General features: G+C 35.1%; 1 protein-coding gene across 31 annotated transcripts in view; it reads right to left on the reverse strand.

The window, feature by feature from the left end:
- Window positions 1-19,205, reverse strand: part of RFX3 (regulatory factor X3) — a 307,705-nt gene that overhangs the window by 159,080 nt on the left and 129,420 nt on the right. For 30 of the 31 annotated variants that reach the window (XM_047423701.1, XM_047423699.1, NM_001282116.2 and 27 more), the window contains one exon: window positions 18,096-18,220. In XM_047423701.1, coding sequence (XP_047279657.1) covers window positions 18,096-18,212 — 117 coding nt within the window. In that variant the 5' untranslated portion in view covers window positions 18,213-18,220. Of the gene's footprint in view, window positions 1-17,408; window positions 17,503-18,095; window positions 18,221-19,205 lie in introns of those variants that run through there. The other variant, XM_047423702.1, reaches the window with a different exon arrangement.

The raw sequence follows: 19,205 nt of genomic DNA on the forward strand, positions 1-19,205 counted from the left end.
AGGTGGGAATTGAACAATGAGAACACTTGGACACAGGAAGGGGAACATCACACACCGGGGCCTGTCATGGGGTGAGGGGAAGGGATAACATTAGGATATATACCTAACATAAATGACAAGTTAATGGGTGCAGCACACCAACATGGGACATGTATACATATGTAACAAAACTGCACGCCGTGCACATGTACCCTAGAACTTAAAGTATAATAATAAAAAAAAGAATATATGTTGTATGACATCATTTATTGGAAATTCAAATAAAAGTCGTGGAAAATATAAAGCGATCTAAATAACAGAAAGCAGACCAGTATTTTCCTAGAATTTGGATGGGAGAGGAAAGGTACTAATAACAAAGAAGAGGGAAGTATTTGGGGTAATGAAAATGTTCTGTATTTTGACTTTGGTGATGTTTATACAGGTATATATGTTTGCCAAAACTCATCAAACAGTACACTTAAATAGGTGGATTTTATTGCGTGTAAATTATACTTAGAAATTTTCAGTTCGGTAGTTTCTGAATTTTTTTATTATGTTTGCTTCTTAGTTAAAAATATTTACTTATAAATTATATACATGTTCTAGTGTATAAATATAAGTATACACTTTACAAAACATACAAAAATAGGAATTACAAAATAAAAACTAAAGATCAAATATTTAAGTATCCTGTTCATTGAGGCAACTTCATTAGTTAATTTTACAGCACAATATACACTTGGATAAGAATTCATCACTGAAAATAATACATACAATAGACATAAATCCATGTGTCAAAAATCTTAGTATTTGGAATTTTAGAGCCAACTTCTTATTTAGGTAATATCTTCAAATTGTTACATGACTGTCGAAGAATTGGACAGGTACTCATTCTGCCCTTTTCTTGTTTCTGCCTGCAATATTAATGCAATCTTCAATCTGTAAGCTATATGTGGAAAAATTTTTAAGCCACTTGTCAATATTATGAAGTTAGTTTAAAATCAGACTACATAATCCATTAATCCACCTTGCTGAAAATGGAAAGTGTAACAAACAAGTTGCATTTTTCGCCCCTCAGGATGCCTCATTCATATATATGATATGTATAAGTTTCTATATCTTGGCTATATCTCCTATTTTTAAGTAAAAATAAATAGAAATAAAAATTCTAACACTTCTTTCTCATATTTTTTTTCTTTCTTTTTTTTTTTTTTTTTTGAGATGGAGTTTCACTCTTGTCACCCAGGTTAGAGTGCAATGGTGCAATCTTGGCTCACTGCAACCTCTGCCTCCCGGGTTCAAGCGATTCTCCTGCTTCACCTTCCCAAGTAGCTAGGGTTACAGGCATGCTCCACCATGCCCATCTAATTTTGTGTTTTGAGTAGAGATGGGGTTTCATCATGTTGGCCAGGCTGGTTTCAAACTCCTGACCTCAGGTGGTCCGTCTTCCTCAGCCTCCCAAAGTGCTGGGATTACAGGCGTGAACTACCATGCCCGGCCTTCTTTCTCATATTCTAGTAAGTCTTGTTGCACTAACCTAGAATAGAGATGCTCCATTTTGGATACATCAGATAGTGACTGCTTACGCTATTCAGAAATTATAGTTTAAAAATTGGAGTGTGTGCCTGTACATATTCAACACTAAACATGTAAATAAATTACTGTCAATTTAGAAGGCAACTCAGTCATAACCTAGTTCACTCATTATTTCAACAAACATTTACTGAGGACCCATTATGTGCCAGACATAGTGCATGCAAGGTTGGACTACAGTGGGAGCAAAGGGAGACATGGTCCCTGGATCATCAATGTACATTACAGTTTTGGGGAGAGACACTAATTACCTGAATCAATTAAGACCATACTAATGAAAAAGTCTGTGAAGGAAAGGTACATGGGCTAGGAGAGTGCATAAAGGAAAGTTAATCTAGATAGGACAATCAAGAAGGCTTCCCTGGGGTCATGACTGCTGACCTCCACAAAATATTATTAAAACATAAGCAAACATAAAGCAAGGTATAAACAATGACAGTGTGGGACCAACTAGTACAATGAAGTTGGGTTTTTTTTTTATTCAATTTGCCTGTGATATCACTTAGCTTTAACATTTTCATATTAAGACTGGTTCTCTTTCTCCTCATTAGTGCAAGACAATTAAAGTAGTTTAACCTAGAATGAAAAAGATCATAGGCAAATATGAAACACACTGAAATTGAGTGGAAATCTCAGTTATAATGTGGTTATTCAGCTCATCTATTAATAGATTCAATTTGTAGTTTCATTAAAAATTTTATCTAAATAAGCACATACACCTGCACACACACACAGAGATAACTGAGAATACATCCATATACCACACTTTGAGAAACACTACTCTTTGCAACCATTTGCATGTCTCCAGTTCTCAGCAGAGTATGTGACATACAGATCAATAATTTGTACTTATATCTGTAAAACGCTTTGCAGTTTGCAGAGCACCACTACATCAATTATTTTTTCATTTGACCTTTATAACTTATGGGCAATTTATTTATTTATTTATTTATTTATTTATTTATTTATTTATTTACTTTAATTTTTTTTATTTTTGAGACAGAGTTTTGCTCTTGTTGCCAGGCTGGAGTACAATGGTGTGATCTCAGCTCACTGCAACCTCTGCCTCCCAGGTTCAAGCGATTCTCCTGCCTCCGCGTCCCAAGTAGCTGGGATTACAGGCATGCACCACCATGCCTGGTGAAGTTTTTGTATTTAGTAGAGATGAGGGTTTCACCATGTTGGTCAGGCTGGTCTTGAGCTCCTGACCTCAGGTGATCCACCAGCCTCAGCCTCCCAAAGTGCTGGGATTACAGGCATGAGCCACTGCACCCAGCCTCATTATGGGCAAATTATATTTCAAAGATAAGAAAACTAAGACTGGTGGTACCCTGAAGAAGTACCACCCTCTCTAGAAAGTTTCCCACAGCTTCCTCCTCCCACCAACTGACTCACCTCTTTGCTCCCACATCCCCTATGTATACCTCAGACATTACCATTCTTTATGTCATCTTCTGTTTACCTACCAGTCTCTTTGACCTAACATCAACATTCTTCATATCACAGCACCAAACAGGGTTCATGGCTCATAACAGATGCTCAATCAGTATTATAAAAAGTGAAGCTCAGTAAGGCTGAAGTGATTTGCTTAACACCATATAGCTTGTAAGTGGCAGACCTGGCATTTTGATTCACCTACATCTCATTAGATCAAATTCAAGTCACTATCCCTTTAGTTCATATCTCTAATATTTTACAGCAATATTATTACTGCTTCATAAGAAACAGGACAAAAACCACATTAAATGAATGCTAACTTGAAGTATTACCAACCAAAATGAAGATAGAAATATAATTTAAGCTCAAACATTAACAATATTTTCCACGTGAAATAAATTGTCTACTTAGATTTAACACAATTAGTTAAGAACCATCTAATTAATTAGCATTCTTAGTAGTGCTATTTTTATACTGAACATTTTTATACTGAGCTTTAAAGAGTATGAATTTGTTTTATTACACTAGCTTCTCTAGATCACTTTTTTCCCATGATAAAGTTTCTCAACTTCTCTGATGCGCTGTTGCTTTGTTATTTTTATATCTAATCTAGATATCTTTAAAATTAGATATTTTTAATACCTAATTAAAATAATTAAAGAAACACTCCATTTTTCAAAATGTATTTCTAAAAGTGCTTGGGAAAATTAAGCATAATCATGAGTTTTAAATATTATAACTGCCTACCAAATCAATGAACCCATAGGCAACAAACCCTCAAAGTCAAGGGAACCTCAAATTCAAGGAAAAACCTTGAAAATAAGCCCAAAACAAAGACCAAAAAAAATTCCCAAAATTATTGGTAAAAAGGCTTTTTGTAGAATAATTATGTTATTAATGGTCGTAAACAGGACTGTAATCGATGATCTTATCAGTCCCATAAGAAAAAAATCAATAAAAAGATTATTACTGGGATCTGAAGCTTAGGTTTGTTCAAAGTAAAATTAATTTATTTAGTATCACTTTCCAAAAAACTTCAGAAATAATTTTGCTCTATCATTTCAACAATCATTTCAACATACAGATTTTTTAGATTTGTTTACAAACAAAAAGAAACATGTAAATCTGTATTATGGTTTAATTCTGCTAATGATGAGATAGAAAGTTAACTTGAGATTCACAAATGGGACAATGCTTCTTTAAACCTAATTATATTCATAAGCATTTTTATTTAAGAATATAATTCCATTCATCATATTTTCTTATATATATCTTTTCCTTGATTTCTCTTCTTTAATCATACTATTTATAAATAGCTGAAATTACTACTAATAAAAAGCACAGATCTAACAGGATCCAAAGCTATCAATACTTAATAACCCAGAAACACCAAATAATAAAGGGAGACAGAGAAAAAAGAATCATGAAAAATCATGCCCTTGGTTAGCTAAGCGGATTTACAAGAAACAGCTTGGCCAATCTGTAAACCAGAAATAAAAAGTTATATATATTACTACTTTCAGTTTTGAGCCTTACTTTTTTGTTTGTTTGTTTGTTTGCTTGTTGTTTCAACTGGAGCTCGTTCCACTTTTCTCCATTTGACACCTTGAGGTTAATATATAAATTTATTATATGTTAGGTGAAAAACAGACTCCACTCTATCTCCTTTGTCCCCCTTAGATCTGTCACTCAGGCTAGAGATGTAGTGGTGATCACAGCTCACAGCAGTTTTAAACTCCTGGGCTTCAGTGATCTTCCTGCTAAGCCTCCCAAGTAGTTGGGACTACAGGCACATGCCACCACACTTGGCCTGAGGCTTACTTTTAAAAGTCACTTGTTAAAACTGTACTTTAAAGAAATAAAATATAATCTTTTAAAGCAACATTTAAGAGTTTAAATTATAAAAAGATGAAAAGTTGTACCTTTGTATTTAATTTAAAAATCTGTATTCTGTCCCACATTCAATAATTAATATGTCAACTATAATATGAATTTGGGTGAGTTTAACTTTTTTAAAAAAATACTGATCAATTGATTTAATTATTCTAGCTTTTCTTAGAGATTGGGGTGGAAACTGAGGGCCTTCAGTCTACTAGGATATATATCCTACTAATTAAAACAAAAAGCAAAGCCAGAAACTGGCTAACTATAATTTTTTAGTTTAGTACCTGATTTCTAATTTTTAATGCTTTTGTCTTTTTCTTGAGAATCATTTAGTTTGTATTTTCTAGCAATGAGGTTTGTAAAGTAGTCCAATTGTACCACCAATTCCTTATACACACCTGTTTTAAAAATAGTCCTTTAGAGTACCTGTAATTCTTAATTAACATCTGTTTTATGTGTTTTTCAAACAAATTTATTTTCTTGATAGTAATTTTCAGGACAAGAGTTGATAGGAAATGTAGAGAAAATTAGGCAAAACCTCAAAATTTATTTTTCGCTATATATTTCTCTAGGTGACTATAAAGTGGTTTAAACTGGATATTTTTTTGAAGAGCTCTTATTGCTTAGAATATATATGGCAAAGTTTCAGTTCTTATTTGTTTAAAGATAAAACACTAAATAAATACCTATGGCTATTGACTATAATTTATTAGTAGCTCATATTATCACTTTTTGAACTTATTTCAGATTGGCAAAGTTATTTATTTTAAAATGTTCTTCTTTTAATACAACTTCAGATTCCTAGAAAAATTGCAAGAATTATACAAAATATTCCTTTCCGCAGATTACCCAGATGCTAATATTTTACTACATGGATTTTATCATTTTTCCCTCTTTTTTTAAGGTTCTATATTTATTGATGTTCATACTTAGAGTCTGAGTTTAGGTAGGGCATAGGAGGTTCAAGGATCACTTTTTTAAATTTGCTAGTTATTTTGCTCAAATAGTCCTTTATATCCTGGGTGCTCTTCTTTGCTTTACTACTTTTGCTTGTGACATTTCTTGATAATGCATAGTGATTGGTAGAGCTAAAATTAATCCTTCTTGACATAAAGTAAATTATGTTCTTTACCATGGGGTTGCCATGTTTAGTACAGCTGTCAGAGGGCTTATAGCACTTCACAGTTTATCTTGTTTAATTCATCTGACTGCTTTATCTCTGGAAGTAGAGCTTAAGAGCTCATGAAGTCAGATGACTTGAGAATGACTCTTGGCCAAAAAAAAAAAATGGCTAAAGCAAGGTATATTAGTTAAAATATTAGACTTAAGACTTAGCACTGAGTTACTACGCAGCCAGGACAAAGAGAGTGGCTCCAGTTTGCTTTAAATAGAAAGCCTATCAGTTCACAAGGGCTGTAAGGAAAATGAACCATCAGAGTCTTTTCAGAAATGGTTTGACTGATGTCAACACAAGTTTTGTTTTGTTTTATTTTGTTTCAGGCAGGGACAGAGTGTTCTGCATGGGGATGGGGGTTTCTGGTAAGCGGAAAACCTGATAAATTCTAGAAGATATGTAAAACTTTCAACACACATTTTCAAAGAAAATAAAAAGGCATAACTTGTGTATCTATTTCTAAAATCAGCCCTGGATTTAAAAAAAGGTACAATAATTATTTTTCAGGGACAGAAAAGTAAGTGTTCCATTAAATTAACCCTCTGATATAGTGGTTCAGTTTGATACAGAGCTTGAAATTTTTTGATGACCGATTCATTTGGCTACAGAAGTATCCAGGAGAAAAGATGATTCTCAAACTGTGTTCCATAAATCCCTAGAGGTTCCACAAAGGCATGTAAAGAGCTGCTATCAGGGGCAGCAGGAAACTAAGTGAGCAAGGCCCAAGTCCTTTCCTCTCCACATACACAATGACACTACAGAATACCTCATGTTTGCATTATTTAGTGTATTCCTCCAATACATATTGAGCATTTACTACTGGCCAGTATTTACTGGTTTCATGAAAGAGCCTTTGAAAAAAAGAATCATTTGCTAAACAGATAATATGTGCCCCACTCCTGAAAGCAATGTAACATCAAGCTCACATACATTCATTTTATAATTACTGTCCTGGCGTATACTTCTCAAATACAAGCACAGGCTGTCAAGACCAAGTGGCTATTATCAAAAACAAGTTATTTAAATTCCTTTAGGCCCAGTTTCCTCGCCCATAAAAGGCAGATAATACCAACTACCTTGCAGGGTTGTTTTAAGCTTGAGAAATAATGAGCCATGCATTAAGCATAGGGACACATAATAAGATGCTCAGTAGATTGTAGCTTCTATTACTATGATCCATTGTTTGAACTGGACTTCTGACAGAAGTAAAATGGTAGGTAAATTCAAAATGATAGCTATTATTGAAAACTTAAATAGCTTATAGTGCAGACTGAAATATTATTCATAAGCTCAAGATACCAAGACACCTGTCCAGGTGCCACCTAACACCCTACTTCAACTCTTACCACACCCTTCCCACGCTCTCCCCCAGCCATATAGACTCTGTTTCAACTCCACAAACCCACCAGCTCCTCTCTCGTGCCAGGTCTTCATACACTCACTTCCCTGAATAAACACTTCCTTTTATTCCCTCACTGTTACCTCTATTCCTCAAATCTTAGCTTAAAAGTCAGTCCCTCTGGGGAAACTTCCTTGACCAGCTCATACTATAAATGACAATTTTGATTTGGACCTTAAAGTTTACCTTTCTTTGACACACTGATGACAAACAGACTCAGCTATACATTGAGATCTATTAGAATGAGGGTGTATTTTTAGCACACATAAATAATTCTTCTAATTTGCTATGGCAAAAGGGTAGGTGCTCTGTTTAAATTATGTTGCAAACTGTTCAAATTATATGTAAGTACAGGTGCCAGTTATCCTAAAGTTTTCTATTTTCTACTCATGTAAAACATTTTATAGGACACATTGAATTTTCCCAGCAAAAAAAGAACTAATGCTAAAATTGATAGTTTGATAGGCAAATTAGATATTAATAGGAAAGAAATTGTATGTCTCTAAGAACAAAACTATGGAATCAACTAAAGTAAGTCTATACATAGTCTTATACAGTAAGTGATCTGTTGAAGAAGAAAACTCTTGGCCGGGTGCAGTGGCTCACACCTATAATCTGAGAACTTTCGGAGGCTGAGACGGGTAGATCACCTAAGGTGAGTTCAAGACTAGCCTGGCCAACATGGTGAAACCCCGTCTCTACTAAAAGTACAAAATTTAGCTTGGCATGGCAGTGTGCGCCTGTAATCCCAGCTACTCAAGAGGCTGAGGCAGGAGAATCACTTGAACCCAGGAGGCAGAGGTTGCAGTGAGCCAAGATTGCACCATTGCACTCCAGCCTGTCTTAAAAAAAAAAAAAAAAAGAAAAGAAAAGAAAAGAAAAGAAAACTCCTTGCAATTCAACTCTGGGACGTCCTTGGGAATAGTTGCACTAAAGGAATAGTTTAAGCCTTTTCTAACTAGAAACTCAAATTCCAATAAGGTCATCTAAGATAATAATATATTATTTCCACCCTAATTTCCTAAAGTCTTATATCCTATCACAATGCCACACTTGATCCAAAACTATTATATTTTATGAGGTAGATAAAATGATGGAGGTATCTTTATTGAGAAATTGTCTGGCATTTTTTCAAACGACTGATGACTACACTGGGTGCCTATTCAAAGTGAAAGACACCACCACCACCTCTGCAGATCAGAGGAAGTTGGTGTTGGTTCTGATCTAGAGTCTGAGCCTCCCTGACTCATAATCCAGTCCAATACAAGGAAGGAGGAACAAAAGTTCTTGACTAGTAAAGAAAATGAAAGCAGCACTGGTTTCTAAAATAGCTACAGAGGATAAGTTACTTGAAAGTGAGAACAAAGAGAAAGTGGCCAAAAGCCAATGTTACAAGAAAAGGAGTTTAAAAACTCCAAATTTTTTTTTAGAAGATCATGAATTCTACTACTATTACTACTATTAATAATAACAATGAAAATAATAATAGTAAAAAATAATAAACATATTAAAGGCTTATTATAATCAGGTACTAACCTAAATATTTTAGCAGAAGTATTATTTAATATTTTTAGCTATAAATGAGCAAGACATTGTTACAATTATTTTATAGAAGAGAAAACTGAGTTTCAGAAAAAGCCAATAAGTTGCCCAGTCATATAAGTAGAAAGGACTAGAGCCAGGATTTGAATTTATGCCTTCCAACAATAAAGCCCACTCAATTTCCACAAAATCTGCTTCCCTTTATGAAGTAGTCCTCAAAGAAATACAAGAGGAAGCCCAGAAGCCACGGAAGAAAAAAGAGATAATAGTCAATAGTATCAAGTGTCAAAGAAAAATCCAGAAAGATCCTAGAAAATAATGTTGGATTTAGCTTGTCCAGAAGTGCACAGTTTCAAGTTGGATGGGGAGAATCCAAATTTCATAGGATTAAGAACTGAACATACAAAAAGGAAATGTAGTAGACAAGTACATATGTCTCTTATCAGGAAAATTGGCAGTCGGGGAATACCTAATGAAATAAGTCAACTGAGTAGGAAGAAAATGAAAATGCTAGGGAGGGGACACATATGAAGGTATCACAAATGAGTCATCTGATTCAACCTTCTGCAAAGAGGCTCTTGTGCAACACTGTTCCATATCCCTCACTTCCCAGGTTCCTCTCCCCAGTCACCTTCACAGATTGCCTTATTTCACTTGAAATCTTTCATGCTTTCCTTTACCAGAGATACCCTCTTCCAGTTTGTTTTTCTTGTGAATTCCAACTTTTCCTTCAGCATGCAGCTCAAGGGTCACATCTTTGGTGTCACATTATTGACCCTCACTCCCAAAGACAATCTTCCATCTTTGCTCCTAAGCACTTTGTATCAAATTCCATCAAACTTGTATTTTCTTCAAAAGCTGGCTTCCTACCCATCAAATACCATGTCAAATTTTCTTAGAAACCCCAGCATTTAACATAGTGCCTGGCACATTCCTCTTAGAACATGGTATCTAGAACTGATCACAATGATCTAACTCTGGATAAAAAAAAATTTTTTTAATTACTTAATAGAGAATCAAAGCATACTATTACTCAACTACTTAAATAGTAGAGCTCTCATTTTTTAACTATTCAGTAGAGATGGTCAACAAAAGGGCCTTAATATTGGATTGGCACAGCAAGACTTATTTCCATTGTAAATCAGCATGGTCCTCCAAAACACCTTACTTCTTTATACTGGATACCAATATTTTGCAGTTCTGGTTCTAAAAATAAATCTCTCCAAGAGCTAAAATCATTGTCTTTTTTTTTTTCAAAAAGACATTCATTTGGAATTCATTTTAAAATATAACTCAATCTTTCAGGATGTCTGCCACAGTCTTAATTATGAGAACACTGTCCCCCCTCAGGGAACCAAGCCAATGGGAATCAAGTCCCAAGTAAGAGCAAACCGGAGAAAAATGCCTTTGTTTCAGCTGATTATATGAAATAATGGTCTCAAATGAAAAGAATTCTATTCATGTCCATCAATGCTAGGATTCACAGAAAGCAAACCTCTTGACCCTGAACAGAAAAGAAAGATAAAGACAAGAATGATGGAGTGCACTATCTTGGGCATAGCTCCCCAAACTAACAAATTCATTTAAGATACTTTTGATCAAAATTTGATCCAACAGAATACTCTATTATGAATTTAACAAACTATAGGCAATTTTTAAAAATCACTACTGATTGCTTTAATGACAATAAACTTTATCATCGGTATAATTCTAATTATCAGGGTTTCTTACTGGTTGTAACGACATACTACTCAGAATATGGCAAACAGAAGTGAAGATGGAAATGACCCAGTATTGAAACTACGGTCTAAGAAATGTGAGGATCTAAGAAGTATTCATATTACACTTAAATTACTAAAATCTATTTCCTAAAGATTAACAGATCATTTTGTAGATACCCAAAATAAAGAGATCTAATGGAGACTATTCATTTAAATCTTACCTTACTTGAAGATTGCCCTTCTCCTGCAACCTAATTTACAACTCTGGTTAGATTTGTTCCCCAAAGAAAATGTCTTTTATCTTTTTGACCACAAGGATAATATGCTCAGTTTGCAGGATATACCATATTTTATGTGGAAAGGCTAAATGTGTGATAGGCTGATACTAACCAAAAAGAAACCAATATAGCCAACTAGCTATTCTATTCCTTTTAATGACTCAGATTATGAACAAAGTGTCCTTCTCTAGTCTATCTAGGCAATTTATAGAAAAAAACAAATGTTCTTTCCTGAATATAGTCTTGAAAGGAGCTTTTATGGCATACAAAGGGGTTTCAAATATCCCAATTACAAACCAAAAATCTACCAGAAACAAACTCTCTGAGTCCCTTAGCAGGAAAAGGTAAAGACTACAATTTCTAATCATAAAAAAATTTCAGCAAAATTGAAAGCTTCTTTGAAAAAAAGAAAATCTTGCTTTGAACTCAATAGAAGTCCCTGAACCCCAGGGCTCCACTATACCTCATGTGTTACATTTAGAAGAAACAATATAGAGACAATACATTTACTCATTTTGAGAGAAAAAGATTTGTGCTCTTCTCCAAGAAAGAGGTAAGACAGACAGAGATAGTAGAGAGGAGGACTACAGTTGCAAAGGCAGTTAAAACTGAAAAACTTAAAAGGGAGGAAAAAAATCTTAGAGCCATGGTCAAGATGGCTTAGAAATTATCCTCAATGTTAGCAGTATTTGTGGAATACCTGGAGCCCAAGATTATAATAAAGAATGAAAGTTCTGACTTCTGTCAAAGTTCTACCTTGAAAAGAAAACTAATCTGGCTGGCCATGGAATAGTAGGAAGACATTTTCCTTTGTCTTTCTCCTGGATGTTTAACTCAGTTCTAGGACAAGCAGGGGTTAGACGACCTCCTAGGTTGAGGCATAAAATGAAAAACAAAGAATAATCTACAAGAAACTCTTTACCAAATCATTCAAGGATGAAGGATGAGGAGAAGGAGCAATCCATTTCTAGTCATATTCTATAGAGACCCATTGGTCCAAAAAGTCTTTATAAAGATGATAGGATGGGTAATATCAAAATTTGAGTTTCTAATCAAGATACTTAGATATTTTTATCAATTTTATTGAATTGGGCAACAATGTCTATATTTGGAAATAAGACTCTATGATGTTTTGTGAGATCATGAAAAGACAGGAAATTTCATATAGCATTTCAGATTGAGTATCCCTAATCTGAAAATCCAAATGCTGAAATGCTCCAAAATTCTAAACTTTTTGAGTGCCAGTATGACACCACAAGAAGAAAATTCCACACCCGACCTCAAGTAATAGCCTGCACAAAATTACTTAAAATATTGTATAAACTCACCTTCAGGCTATGTGTATAAGGTATATATAAAAAAACATATATTTCATGTTTAATGCTGGGTCCCACCCCCAAGATCTCTCATTATGTATATGCAAATATACCACAAACTGAAAAAAGTTCCAAAGCAAAAGTACTTCTGTTCCCAGGCATTTCAGGTAAGTAATATTCGCCCTGTACATAGTAAGATCTTGCTATTCTTTGTTCAGAATTCTCTATCCCTGAACCATATTGTCTAAGAAAGTGTGACAAATGGATACTTGAGGTCATATAAAATAAACAAAAAATCATAAAAACAATTTTAGAATTGTTTTATTCGGTACTTACTACACGGTGAAATTAGAAGCCTTATGGCTTTGAAGAAACAGAAGAAGTGTATAATACTGCAATCCTGAAATTTTCTGGTTTCTCATTGATATGGTTTGCCTGTGTCCTCACCCAAATTTCATCTTGAATTATAACTCCCACAATTCCCACATGTCTTGGGAGCAACCCTGTGGTAGGTGATTGAATCATGTTGGGGTGGTACAGTAAATTGGTACCAGTAAAGTGGGGCACTGTTGAAAAGATACCCCAAAATGTCAAAGTGTAAAAGATACCCAAAAATGTAGAAGTGAACTGGATAACAGGCAGAGGTTGGAACAGTTCGGAGAACTCAGAAGAAGTCAGAAAATTGTGAGAAAGTTTGGAACTCCCTAGAGACTTGTTGAATGGCTTTGACCAAAATGGTGATAATGATACGGACTATGAAATCCAGGCTGAAGTGGTCTCAGATGGAGATGAGAAACTTGTTGGGAACTGGAGCAAACTTGTGGGGAATTGCTATGTCCCCACCCAAGCCTCATCTTGAATTGTAATTCCCACAATTCCCACATTGTTGTGGGAGGAACCCGGTGGGAGGCAACTGACTCATGAGGGCAGGTCTTTTCTGTGCTGGTCTCGTGATAGTCAGTAATTCTTATGAGATCTGATGGTTTTAAAAATGGGAGTTTCCCTGCACAAGCTCTCTCTCTTTACCTGCTGCCACCCGTGTAAGACATGACTTGTTCCCCCTTGCCTTCTGCCATGATTGTGAGGCCTCCCCAGCCACATGAACTGTAAGTCCCTTAAATGCTTTTTCCTGTATAAATTACCCAGTCTCATGTATGTCTTTATTACTAGCATGAAAATGGACTAATACACTCATCATTCTAGTATATTAGGTTGGTGCAAAAATTAAATTAATGGCAAAAACCGCAATTACTTTTGCACCAACCTATATATAATATTGAATGCCTCAAAATTTTAAAAATTAGCTATAAACTTTCTCTTTATGTCAAAATCAACAAAGCAAAGTTACAATGAAAAGTTGAATCAACAGAAGTAACTACCTTTGACATCAATATCATGATTTCTATATCCATTATGGGTCAGTAACAAAAGCTGGAAACTTTTAAAGGCATTTTACTATAGTTTGCAAACCCAAGATAATAGCAGCACATTAACAATTCAAACATTATAGGCATGTCAGAGGAATAGGAATTATAGCATGAATCTTATCAGTTATAGACAATTTATATCCACGGGGACACCACTGGAATATACTGGGGAGCTTCAAACATGACACTATTCTACTTAAGAAAAAAAAAGAAAAATAACGACAAAGAAGAAAAACATGCTTCTAAATAAGTCTGGGAGGACAACATAACAAGGGTCTCCAGGCAAATATCACAACAAAAAACTGCGTGAAATAAAACACTTTGTTGACAAAAAGAAAATGAGTGTTCTCACCTTCTTTGCTCGGTGTAAAGGAATATAAGGTATCACCTGCCTTGAATGTCCCAGAAGAAAAAGCTAACTTGAGGAAATGAAAAATATGCCTGTTGGGAGTGAGCCATATGGCACAGTACAATGTTTTTTCCAAAGTGTGGTCCAGGTGTACACAAGATTATTTTTTATGAGGTCAAGAATGAAGTGTTGGGGGTGGTGAGGGTGTGTATGTATAATCTTCTATTTATGGCTAGTGACACTGATTTTCCACTTCTGACAGCAATCCAATTTTTGTTTTTAATATATGTATTTAATATAAAATGTGATTCTACTTAAGAAGCAATCAGGTTCCCTCTACCAACCCCTACGCAGTAAGGTAACTGGCTTTCCCTAACTTTAGTAAAATGTTTGGAGGTTTGTTCTTTGGCTTAATCTCTTCATTGAGGAATACCAAGCATGGGTAATACCACATGAAAAAAGAGAAAGATTAATTAAATTCGTGCAATAAATACCCAACTCTTTCCCCAACTCAGCTCCCAGGCAGCCAAGCATTCCCCCACTAGGCAGGAAGTTGGACAAGTCTTCTTAAAAAAATTGACCAGCCAAAGAGGGCAAACAAAGATACTGAACATCAGAGGGTTCTTAATTAAAAAGCCTTGTCAGTCAGATGACCCCATTTTGAAGTCAACAAGACTCACTCATGCATTCAAATCAGCGTCTTATATCCACATTTTAAAATATGGATAAACACCCACAGATTGTCAGACATCAGAGAAAAGCTTTTAACATGAAAGACAGAGACATAGTAAAAAACAAAACAAAACAGAACAGAGTACCTTAAAAGAAACAGACTATGTAAAGAGAAAAAAAATTTCAACAAGTTAAAAAAAAATTAATATCTTCAGAAAGGTAAAAGAAAACCATGAATTAAAACATGATATTACGAAAAGGAACACATAGGAATTTTTTAAAAATTCCTGAAAATTAAAAAAAAAGTGATAGAAATTAAAAATAATATAAGGCCTGAACAATGAAATTGAAAATAGAACAAAAAAAGTCCGGAAAGTGAAAAAAACAAGAAAACAGAGGGGGAGGTAATCATAAATGAAAAAACTGAATAAAGTTTCCCAGAAATGAAAAAGCATGAATGTCCAGACTGAAATGGCCCATGAAGTTTCTAGTACAGTATTTGAAAATAGGCCTGCATCAATGCACATCATCATAAAGTTCATAAAACTGGAATTTCAAATATTCTACAAAGTTTCAGAGAAAAAAAAATCACATAAACCACATAAAAAAGATCAGAAATCAGATTGGTGTTTGGCTTGTCCATGGCAATCCTGCAAACTAGAAGAAACACAGTCATTAAATCTAAGAAAAATAAATGAGTTTTACAGGAAAGGAAGGTAATCACTGTTTACTACAAGGCTGGATTTGAAAAGCATTTATATATCATGGTAATATAAGCACTGAATTTACTGAATTTACTGAAATTAAAATATAACTTATAGGTTGAGACATGAAATTATTGTTTTTGTACCTAAAAAAACACATATGGTTCAATCTGTCAAGAACATAAGGGACAGGAAGGGTGGGTGGGCGGGTGGGTGGGCCAGGGTGTGTGTGTGTTGTGTTAGGGACCAAAAGAAGGGCATGCTAAGGTAATGTTTAAAATGCTTAAAACTAAAAAATCAAGGTGCAGTAAAATAAGTATACTATATTTAAATAAATGGAGGTAAATATCAGAATAACAGGTTTAAAGAGGTCAATGTAGTTGCCTATGAGGAGTGGTTTGTGGGAGAATGGGGGAGGTTAAAGGCCATTTTTTTAAAATAACAGACCTTGCTAAGTTTTTTGAGTCTTTATACTATTATATACCCTATTAAGACCTGGTGTAAATATTTGATAATATGTAAATTCAATAAAAAGAAAACTTTTTTTTCATGTTTACAGAAGGCACCTTCCAGAGATAGGAACACTATTTCCATCACACTCTTGTTAGTGATAGGCACTCTCTCAAAACCATTCTTCTACAGAGATGAAAACCAGAGTGAGTTAAATGTTCAACATTGCCTTTAAAAAGATAACTGTTATCTTTTTAAAGTTAGTTATAACAATGTCTGAATTGTTCTTTACTTGCTCTTCAGATGACATGACAAAAGCTATCCCTTTCTCAATAAGGTTCAGAGTCTTAAAATTGGTGATGGCATTAATAATAACAGAGCCTTTTAAATCACCATTGTGAAGATTCATTTTTAATGGTTAAAAAATATATATAAAAAGATAAAAACATAACCAATAAAGTGGGCGCTAAACAATTGGTACACATGAACATAAAGATGACAATAAGAGATACTGGGGACTCTAAAAGGAGAGAGGGTGGGAAGGGGATAAGTGTTGAAAAATTACCTATTGGGTACAATGTTCACTATTTGGGTAATGGGTACCCTAGAAGCCCAAACCCCACCATTATGTAATTTAGCCATAAAGCAAACCTGCATATGTATGCTCTGGATCTACAATTCTAAAAAAGAGAGAATATGCTTAAAAGAAATAAAAGGAACATAAGCAATAGATTGAAACATGTAACACTTTTTGTAGATCAAAACTATATATAGTTCAATCTAATAAACTGGTAGCTTGAGGGATGGGAAAGTTGTATATGTGTATATGGCAGAGTATGCTAAGATTTTTTTAAAAATGTTTAAAAAATAAACACAAAATGGCCGGGCACAGTAGCTCATGCCTGTAATCCCAGCACTTTGGGAGGTCGAGGTGGGCGGATCACGAGGTCAGGAGATCGAGACCATCCTGGCTAACATGGTGAAACCCCGTCTCTACTAAAAATACAAAAAATTAGCCAGGCGTGGTGGCAGGCACCTGTAGTCCCAGCTATTCTGGAGGCTGAGGCAGGAGAATGGTGTGAACCCGGGAGGCAGAGCTTGCGGTGAGCCGAGATGATGCCACTGCACTGCAGCCTGGGAGACAGCGAGACTCCCGTCTCAAAAAACAAAACAAAACAAACACAAGACGATTATCTCAGATGTCTTTACTTATCCTAAAAGCCAATGACTTCTGTACGATTGCAGCACACCCCCTGCCCAACCCAATTCTATATCCTGTAAAGAATATAACCTTGCATCTATCAATTATAAAAATGTCCTTCATCATCTATAACCCATCTATATCCTTCTCCCTAACCACTTATTTATAATTGTAAGAGCAACGTTTGCTAAAGAGTCTCTTTAATACTAAGAAATTATAGGCAAATCTTGAATCTCAAGATAATGTTATATGACATATGATCTTTCTCACTTATGTTCTCACCACTCTTTAGAAGAAATCACAGGCCAGTGTGTTCACAATCCACATACATGAACAGCATTACTTTGTCAGTATCTTTCCAAACAAGCCAACTGCCCTGCGTATGAATAAGACCTGTAGTAAATATCTGATGATGAATTCACTCCCAACTTTTTAAATAGCTTGAGTCAGATCTCCAGACCTTGAAGATTATTCTATTTTCATTCAACAGTATTTATCAACCACCTAATGCAAAGGCACTTTCTAAAATACCACAAAGGCAAAATCCCTGCCTGGAAGGTGCATGCATCCTATTAAGTACTACTGTGAGCCAACTAAATAAAGTATAATATTGCTGACATTTCAATATGAAAGAAATAGAAAGTTGTGATAAACAATGAGGAGAGAAGAGAAGGAGAAAACTTTGAGTGGTCATATCAGAAAAAATAACTTGCTTTAGGAGTCAAGACAGGCTGTTTGAGAATACAGATTATAACTTGAGTATTCATTTTTGTATCCCTATAGCCTAGCACAGAAAGAACCTGGCACATCCAAGAAATGCTCAAGAAACATTTGCTGAATGAACCTAAAAACTGAAGTATGCCTATCATAGCAAGACAGTAAAGTTCAAATAATTTTTGGATACAGGTATGTTGGACAGCCAACATAATGAAAGTAACAGCATCTTTTCTAAGAGCAGCAGCTCCTTACCTGTTGTTGTACTGGTACTTGCTGTACCACCTGCGTAGGCACTGCTGCTTGACTAGCCACAGATGTTTGTAAGGTCACTGTCGAGCCTGTGTCCGACCCAGTCTCTGATGTCTGCATGATGGTCTCTGAAATAGATTAAAATGAAATTAAAGTTTAAAATGTCACTCCTGCATGACTAGCTTCCTTACAATTGTTCTTAAAATCCTATACTGAAACTAACTTTCAACTCTCATACCTCTTATCCCAACATACTACCATGACAGTCCGTGCATGTGTATGGTCATTCTGACCACTTTATAAATAATTACTAATCCACATTCTTTAAAAAAATTCCCATTAGCACCTCTTATCCTGAGACTATCCAGGTTAAATTTCATTGAAAGCTACCTTCTATCTCATTTGTTATAAATTGTTTAAATCCCTTTATAAACTATCATCCAAAATTATATCAAAATGTTCTTAATTCTCAGAACACAAACCCTACCTGGATGTAAGTGTCATGAATTCTACTTTCTTGACACTTTTATAGGCTGTCAGGATGTCACCAGAATATAATTTAGAGTAAATCATTTCTTTTTTTTTTTTATACTTTGTTTTAGGGTACATGTGCACAATGTGCAGGTTAGTTACATATGTATACGTGTGCCATGTTGGTGTGCTATACCCATTAACTCGTCATTTAACATTAGGTATATCTCCTAATGCTATGCCTCCCCCCTCCCCTCCACCCCACAACAGGCCCCGATGTGTGATGTTCTCCTTCCTGTGTCCATGTGTTCTCATTGTTCAATTCCCACCTATGAGTGAGAACATGCGGTGTTTGGTTTTTTGTCCTTGCAATAGTTTGCTGAGAATGATGGTTTCCAGCTTCATCCGTGTCCCTACAAAGGACATTAACTCATCATTTTTTATGGCTGCATAGTATTCCATGGTGTATATGTGCCACATTTTCTTAATCCAGTCTATCATTGTTGGACATTTGGCTTGGTTCCGAGTCTTTGCTGTTGTGAATAGTGCCGCAGTAAACATATGTGTTCGTGTGTCTTTATAGCAGCATGACTTATAATCCTTTGGGTATATACCCAGTAACGGGATGGCTGGGTCAAATGG

This window comes from Homo sapiens, chromosome 9 (assembly GCF_000001405.40).
Source record: "Homo sapiens chromosome 9, GRCh38.p14 Primary Assembly".
Lineage (NCBI taxonomy): Eukaryota > Metazoa > Chordata > Mammalia > Primates > Hominidae > Homo > Homo sapiens.